General features: G+C 40.5%; 3 annotated features.

The window, feature by feature from the left end:
* Positions 1,381 to 2,580: an enhancer, noted in NCBI's record as "MED14-independent group 3 enhancer chr12:46464825-46466024 (GRCh37/hg19 assembly coordinates)". NCBI's record gives its function as "activates an origin of replication core promoter dependent on BRD2, BRD4, P300/CBP and CDK7 cofactors, and independent of MED14, by STARR-seq in HCT116 cells {active_cell/tissue: HCT116}" and the evidence as "EXISTENCE:reporter gene assay evidence [ECO:0000049][PMID:35650434]".
* Positions 1,766 to 1,985: an enhancer, noted in NCBI's record as "active region_6234". NCBI's record gives its function as "activates an Ori minimal core promoter by ATAC-STARR-seq in GM12878 lymphoblastoid cells {active_cell/tissue: GM12878}" and the evidence as "EXISTENCE:reporter gene assay evidence [ECO:0000049][PMID:35858748]".
* Positions 2,777 to 2,826: an enhancer, noted in NCBI's record as "active region_6235". NCBI's record gives its function as "activates an Ori minimal core promoter by ATAC-STARR-seq in GM12878 lymphoblastoid cells {active_cell/tissue: GM12878}" and the evidence as "EXISTENCE:reporter gene assay evidence [ECO:0000049][PMID:35858748]".

An 8,926-nucleotide genomic window follows, 5' to 3' on the forward strand; every position in this document is an offset into this window, starting at 1 on the left:
ATTTTAGGAGAGTAAGTCCTATAGAAGGACATTGATGAGCTAATTGTTGTGTGAGAAATTTGACAGTGTTAAGAGAAAAACATACAAAAATCTTAGGAACTTATCCCAAATTTACGCTATGCAACTATTTTATAACAATGGATTGTTATTAAAAAATCCCATCTATGTCTGTTACAAAGATCTAAGCTGCTGTTAAAGCACCCTTGATCTTGAGCTTGTGACCTCAAGTGGTCCTTCCACCTTGGCCTCCCAAAATGCTGGGATTACAGGTGGTGAGCCACCACTGCTGGCCAGACCACTCTTGTAGAAAATCTGTCTATGCTAAAACAAAAATGTGAAAGATAAAAATCAATTATAGTTTCCATTGAGGTTCACTTCGCTGAAGTCTTAAACTCAAAGTTTAATTTGGACCTCATAATTGCTAAGACGTTTACAAACTGAGAATGAGCTCTGAGTAGTGGAAATACTACCCCATATCAACTTCAAGCAGTATCATGAAGTTATTTTCATTTTGCAATGTACTTTCTTTAAAAAAAATAGCTTCAAGGTTTTCCCCTTTCCTGCAGTGAAAATATTTTCTCATATAACTTCTCAAAGCTGAAATAATAGAATATCTTCTGACATAATTTTATACGAACACTTATGGAGCCTTATTGTCTTTGGAAAATTATGATGATTTTCTCCCTTTAATAACTCTGATCATGCCAGTAAATGTTAATCCAATGGAAAAGTATGGCAAGGAGCCCAGAGGTGTCTGGGCAGAAGCTTTATTACTTCGGGGGGATTAGGAAGAGACTTATTGAATTAGAGAGCTCCCCAGCCATTTCTACCTATGATTTTGCATAATGATGCCCATCAATCTCAAACTACTTCTCTTTGCTCCCTGTCCATAATCTGTCAGGTGCTAAATTGTATGTTTAAAGATGCTAGTGGAAAGCAAAAGTAAATCTACCTGCAAGATCCTCTGGGTTACGAGTGATGCCAGCTGGCAAAGTCTCATTACCCTTGGAAGTGTTCTGATGTCTCACAGACACAGGCTCTTTGTGTCTCATGACTACATTCTGTGTATGGCTTCAGCTTCCTTTTCTCTACTTCTTTGATCACAGCCTGTCTGCTCCCCTCTGCCATTGTCCCAGCATTCTACCACTAACCAGTTCTTCCTCTTCCTGGACACTCTTTAAGCTCTCAACACTTATGCCTCACCACTGGTATCCCTACCTTAGAATTCTCCTCTCATTCAGTTCTTCCCACCCATTGATGCCATTCTCTAGAATGTGCTGCTTTTATCTTGGCACCAACTTTGAAGGCTCCCCAAGGACTAATGGATTAAATACAAGATCTTCAGTTAGGGCCTTCACAATGTAAACTCATTCTCTATGAGGCTCCAGAATGAATTCTTTACTTCATCCAATCAGGTCCCCTCAAAGTCTGTGATGAATTCAAGGGCACGCGTCTTACAGGGAAAAGGTTAGCAAATTTTTTCTATCAAGGGCCAGAGAGAAAATCTTTTGGGTTTTGTAGATCCTGTGGTCTCCGCTGCAGCTATTCAGTTCTGACACTGTGATACTAAAGCATCTGTAGACAATGTATAAACAAATCAGTTTGGCTGTGTCCCAGTAAAACCTTATTTATGGACTTGGACATTTCAATTTCATATAATTTTCATGCATCATGAAGTTTTATTCTTCTTTTGATTTTCTTCAATGACTTAAAATTGTAAATAGCAGTCTTAGCTCACGGACCATACAAAAATGGGAGGCAGGCTGGGTTTGACCCACAGGCCACACTTTGCCACTCTCTGTTCTAGGAGATCACTGGTCATGAGCTTTTGACTTGCTGTTGACTTGCCCTGACTTGCCACAGGGTGGCAAGAGCAGGCCCTCCTCTTCCCGTGATGGCATCCTTTGTCATGTGAGGTGCAGATCTGCCCAGCATCTGAGTCTCTAATTACCTACTTAGAAGAAGTTCCCCCGACTAACCCCACGGCCACGAGAAGGTGGAATACCATTCCCTGTGGCTGGAGCACTGGGCAAGGAGCAGATGGGGCCCTTTGGAGAAAAGGCAAGTCCAAGCTATTAACAACATGCATGACCTCCTCCTCCCACTAAGTCCCACTGGAGTCCTTCTGGGAACTAAAACCTCACAGCTAAATAGTCTCCTTTTAGTATTAGGTGGAGGCACCTGACCTGCAGATAAAGGTCACTGACACACACATTCCCTGGCAAGTCTTCAGATAGTGTTGGTAGTCGTGTCATTTGATAGGGACTCTGAACCTGCAGCTTAATGCTTCTATGGAGCCAGAGAGGTTTCCTGTCTGTCCACTGCTAAAGGGAGGCACTATTCACCTTCAGCTTCCTCCGTAAATTCCAGACCTAGAAGACAGCCCTCTGTGCCTTGCCTGAAAACCAGATACAAACACTTCTAAATCAGGAAGATTGGCGTGTCTCCAAGTTGCCTGAGAATTTCTTCAGGAGTGCTAGCAGGGGAAGGGACAATGTTGGAGGTGATGGGAAGAGAGTGTGCTGAGTTCGCCTTTTCAATTTTATCTTTTCTCCTGCAGTTGGATTGTTACCAATGAGACCTGGGAGGAAGCCAGGAGGCAAAGGCCCGGAACTCAGTGCTGAAGTTGCATGGCTGTCAATGGCCACTAGAGGATGCCAGAGCCCGAGATTGGGGAGCCCAAAAAGGCACCATCTCCTCCAACCGCCTGGAGAATTACTGGCAGCTAAGAAGTGAAAGCAATAGACAGGGTGGCAATAGACCATAAGGAAGTACTGTTCTGCCTGACCATGTGGAGGGGGACAAGCAGGATCTCAAAGTATCCAGAGCCTTAAGGCACAATGGACCAAGTAACTTCTTACTTTATCTAAGGGCAATGACTGAGGCAGGTAACTCATGGATCCGGGCTAGGAGTGAGAAGTGCTTTATGACTGCAGTGAAACACACAAATAAACTCCCTACCTCCATGAATTCTACATTAAAATCATTAAATAAATAACAGGAAGTGCTGGAGAGTAAAATAAAGAATAAGAAGTGGGGTAGGGTGTAGGGGCTTGAACAGTAGCCAAGACCATGTTCAGATGACAGCAGGTCAGAAAACAAAGGAAGGTAAAAAAAATGCTCCTTCTCAGCCCGCAGTGAAGAGCAGTGAGCTTAGCCACAGAGGTCTTGCCCACTGTGCTGTCTGCTTCTCCCAATGATAACCACCCCAATCTGCTTTTAGGAATTCTTCAAAGTAAAGAAAGTATGTGGAATCCAGAGGAAGATGGTCATTTGTTTAGGAAAACAAAATTATAAAATTGGTCTTGTTCCGGGTGCGGTGGCTCACGCCTGTAATCCTAGAACTTTGGGAGGCTGAGGTGGGTGGATCATGAGGTCAGAAGATCGAGATCATCCTGGCCAACATGGCGAAACCCCAGCCCTACTAAAAATACAAAAATTGGCTGGGTGTGGTGGTGCGCACCTGCAACCCCAGCTACTCGGGAGGCTGAGGCAGGAGAATCGCTTGAACCCAGGAGGCAGAGGCTGTAGTGAGTGGAGATCACACCACTGCACTCCAGCCTGGTGACAGAGAGAGACTCCGCCTCAAAAAAAAATTGGTCTTGTACCCTGGAAACTAGCATAAATTGTAAAAGGTTAATTACAATCAGTAATTAAAATCCAAGAAAATTTAAGTCAACATGGGTGAATTGGTTGAGTGCAGAGGGCAGTAAAATGTTGTTATGATTCTTAAGATTGTTTAGTGGATACAGATTCTGACTCATGCTAGACATTGTTAGAGCTGATCTTAAAAATATGAATGTTAAAATAATAAGGGAAACCACTAACAACAGGAATACACTGTATAATTTTTCAGCTGTTTGAGAAAAACACTAGTCCTAAAGGACTCGTGGGAAGGATGATGGCCCCCACCTCATTGGAGCCCAGGACTGAAGGAAGTGTCGAAAGCAGCCAGCTGATATCAAGGGATCAACAGTGGGACATTTCCACTGTGGGTATCTCTGAGAAACCCACAGCATTGAAGAGTCAGCTTGGAACATCTAGATCGCGATACTACCAGTAGACAATACCAAGTCCCTTTTCTACAGACCTAGCCCTGAAGCAAGAAAGTGAGCAAATGAGGGAGAAGTTGACCACGTCTCTATGACCTATTGCAGACTTTCATGACTAGAGCTGACCCAAGCCTGCAGAAGGAAAAAACTAAGTAAGATGGAGTTTGGAGTTCTCATTATCACACTGGATTGGGTCTCTAAATGTCAAAAACAAAAAGACAGTTTATGTGTTACCTACAAGTGATCTAAAGAACTGTGAGACTTGTCCAAGATTTCACCCAAGGGCAAGGAATGGTCTGTTTGATGGAGCAAGTTCACTGAGGAGTGGTGACATAGTATAAATGTGTTTTATAATTGTATTCTACTAAGCTCAGCCCATTCAGTATAATTGTTGCATTAAAATCAGATGAATTTTGAAACAAGATGAAAGTATTAAATAACACCAAGAGGGATTTTTACATTAATGAACTAATGACCTTTATAACAATGTTACTCCTTCCTTTGTCCTTCCCTGCTAGCTCTCCTTCAGTCCACTAAGGAGATTTTCCTTTCTCTCGCCTCCTTGAGCTTCCTATTTGCCTCATACTCTACTCATTCTACCAACATAATATGAACTCCACCTCCCCTTGTCTCTCTTGTGGTCAGAAGCCCTTCTCTCCCTACATGTCCTTTACCCATAAGAATTAAAGGGTGGCTTCATCAATGCGCTGCTGTGTGGCCTTGAGGAAGTTACCTACCTTCACTGGATTTCAACTGATCATCTGTTAAGTGCAGAGAAAATTTTCCCCTTTGAAGATTAGATAAAATAATGCTTGTAAATTGAGTAAACTGGCATATGGCACATAATAATAAATGGTATTAACAGTTATCAGTGAAACAAGATTAGTGGTAAGAGAAATCTACCAAAATATTTCATTTTCTTTCAAGAGCAGAAAATGAGCCTTCTCTGTAATATGTGCATTTTTAATCTAGCATATAGAAAAGTTTAGAATACATTGCCTGATGATGATGATTATAATGACAATGAAATGGTAACAACAGCAGTAATTATTATGACAAAAAGATACCCCACAGTTGTAAGAACCAAATGCAAATGTCTCAGCAAAAATACCAGTGTGGATTATGGGACCTAGTAGGTTATTACTAGGAATTGACAGTAACAGGAAGATTATGCTGAGATACTGTAATTGGAGATGTGAGTGGCTCAAGTCCAGCATAAATTCCATGCTGTCTCCAGAGGAAAACCAAACACATAAGTAGTGGTGCCCATTAGAGAACATATATATATGTTTTGTTTTTGTTTTTGTTTTTATTTTTATTTTCTTGCTCAGTCCCAGGCTGGAGTGCAATGGTGCAATCTTGGCTCACTACAACCTCCGCCTCCTAGGTTCAAGCCATTCTCCTGCCTCAGCCTCCTGAGTAGCTGGGATTACAGGCGTGTGCCATCATGCCGGGCTAATTTTTGTATTTTTAGTAGAGATGGGGTTTCACCATGTTGGCCAGAATGGTCTTGAACTCCTGACCTCAAGTGATCCGCCCGCCTCAGCCTCCCAAATTGCTGGGATTACAGGTGTGAGCCACTGTGCCCAGCCCATTAGAGAATATTTGATAAATATTTGGTGTGTAACATTCAGATAAACACTGCAGACCACTTTCAGTCTTTTCAGCTGTTCTTGTACATAGAGTAGTATAACATCATATTTAAACATGAAGGACAGCAATAAAACTGTTTAACTTCAGCACCACCACATAATGTCAGAAACATTAAAAGAAGATGCAAATGTCTAAAGCTATAGGAATTGTAATTTGGAGTAAGCAATGGGTTCTATGAAAAAAATTGCTCTGACAAAACCAATTGCAGTTTTGATAGAATTATAAAATCACTCGTTTGTGGGAAGGCAGTTATATTTGAACATTATCAAATCCTTTGCCAATTATTCATGCAATTTTAAATAATTCAGATTAGACTTAAACATGAGCAATCACTAAATGAAACGATTCAATGAAAACTGGCTCAGGATCTATAGATAAAGAGGGCACAGTAAAAACAATATGTGAAGCTGGAATTGGGGCTTGAGTGGGATTGCTCTTTCCAGGCTTAATATCTTTATTAACAGAGCAGGTGATGGAATAGCAGTGTGAAATGTTGCATTAGGTCTTTTCAGGTGAGTCTTTAAATATAAGAAAAAAGAACAATGGGAATAAAAACCCAGAGAAGTAAAAAATTACAGCAGGAAATTAAAAGCTGCCTTTTAGATTGTAAAATTCAGTCTAAATTATGTGGTGCAAAGTATCCCGAGTTCCTGAATAAATTCATAGAGTTTATTTAGAATATCTGGTGATGCCTAAAAGGCCATTGGGTAACAGCAGGCAGGAAATTTAAAATAAATTCATGATAACAGTGTCTCTTTGCATTCTAGACTTCTCACCAAAAAGAGTTCAAGTTGAGCTCTGTATACTTTGTAAAATGGTGAAAACTGGGAACTAGAAGTTCAAATGTTAACTGAAAGACAATAGGATTACAATGGCTGTGTATAGGTTAATTGGGGAAAGTACATTTAGCTTTCCAAAAGGCTACGCTATCTTCCTATTTATTTTGATAGCAATTTAAAAATAGATATGAGAGATACTGAATTAAAATAGAATACTGGAACATTTTGGGGAAATATAGAAAAATAAAGTACAATAAATGCCAGATCTATATTGCTAAAGAGCCTGCTGAGGTATCTGTTTCTATAAACTTTAGACATAATTCACTATCGACAAAGTTGAGAGAATGTAACTTGGAAATGGAATAAACTTGCAAACAGAGAAATATCATTTATCAAAATTGTCATCAATTAGATTAGAGTTTTTGAACTGGAAAAGACCTTAGAGATCTGCATTTTATAGAGGAGTAAACTGAAACTCAGAGTGATTTAGTAACTTGCTGAGAATGACATAGCCATTCTGAAGCCGACATTATCTCCTGCTCCTGTGCTCATCCTGCTCAGCCATGACTGGTCACTGGGTGAATGATGATATAATTGCCATGGCTAATTTCTCTCCTTGTTGAAAAACTGGCTAAGAGCTTAGATTCTGCAGTCAAGCTATTTGGGTTCAAATCCTGGCTCTACTGTTTTCTAGTATGGTAACCTTAGCCTCTCTCTCTTTCCTAATCTTTATAATGGGGATAATAATAACACTTGCTTCTTAGTATCGACGAAAGGATTAAATTAGTTAATGTGTGTAAAATGTTAGAAGTCCAGATTTTATGCTGCTAAATTTCATATAAAACATCACAGAGATTTTTGAAATGCTTTCATGGAATTTATGAAACAAGGAAGAATTCATCCCAAATGTAATAGGAAGATCTACTCTTAGAGGTTTTCCTCATATTTTGGTTGAGAGAGGATCCAAAGTTATTTCTGGAAAACTGTATATTTTCTTTGTAGTTTGTAGTGAAACACCAATGAAGGTACTCTGTAATCATCATTGCCCAAGTCAGGTGCATTCTATAGTCAGGCCTTCACATCACATGGAGGATTGGATATATATACATATACATATATGTGTATATATATATGAATATACATGTACATGTGTATACATATATGTATATGAATATACATGTATACATATACAAATAACTTTTAAAAAATATTATTTCAGTTATTCATCCTTGTGACTTAGGAAAAAGCAAGAGCTAGAAGGAATCCTTTACTTAGATGATGATTGAGAACATACTTGAGTACAAAACAGCACTTAACTGAGAAAACTCAAACTTCTTATTTCCTTAGGTGTCTAATGTGTTTCAACCATTTTGCATGTTTTCTTAGGAAAGGAAAGCTAGTAATTGCATTAAAAATGTTTTATTATGGAGGATTTGATGCTATAGAATAATTGATATTGTATCAATTGTATTAGTCTGTTCTTGCACTGCTATAAAGAAATACCCGAGACAGGGTAATTTATAAAGAAAAAAGGTCCAATTGGCTCACACTTCTGCAGGCTGTACTAGAAGCATAGTGACATCTGCTTCTGGGGAGGCCTCAGGGACCTTTTACTAATGGCAAAGGCAAAGTGGGAGAAGGCTTCTTAGATGGCAGGAGCAAGACCAAGAGAGAGAGGAGGCAGGTGCTACACACTTTTGAATGACCAGATCTCATGAGAGATCTCACTTTCATGGGAACAGCACCAAGGGGGAAATCTGCCCCAATTCCCCATTTCCCCTCTGCATGCCCTAGTAGAGATTCTCCATGAGGGCTCTGCCCCTGCAGCAGACTTCTACATGGACATCCAGGCTTTTCCCTACATCCTCTGAAATCTACTCAGAGGCTCCCAAGCCGCAACTGTTGCACTCTGCACACCCACTGGTGTAACACTGCATGGAAGCTGCCAAGGCTTATGGCTTGCACCCTCTGAAGCAGTGACCCTAGCTGTACCTGTACCCCTTGGAGCCAAAGCTGGAGCTGGAGGAGCTGGGATGCAGGGAGCAGTGTCCCAAGGTTGCACAGGGCAGCAGGGCCCTGGATGTGGCCCACGAAATCATTCTTCCCTCGTAGGGCTCTGGGCTTGTAATGGAAGGGGCTGCTATGAAGGTCTCTGAAATGCCTCTGAGGCATTTTCCCCATTGTCTTTGCTATTAGCATTTGGCTCCCTTTTACTCGTGCAAATTTCTGTAGCCTGCTTGAATTCCTCCCCTGAAAATGGGTTTTCTTTTCTACCACATGGCCAGGCTGCAAATTTTTAAAACTTTTATGCTCTGCTTCTCCTTTAAATATAAGTTTCAGTTTTATGTCATTTCTTTCCTCATGCATATGAGCATAGGCTGTTAAAAGCAGCCAGGCCACATCTTGAACACTTTGCTGCTTAGAAATTTCTTCCACCAGATA

The sequence above is a fragment of the Homo sapiens genome, chromosome 12, assembly GCF_000001405.40.
Source record: "Homo sapiens chromosome 12, GRCh38.p14 Primary Assembly".
Taxonomy (NCBI): Eukaryota; Metazoa; Chordata; class Mammalia; order Primates; family Hominidae; genus Homo; species Homo sapiens.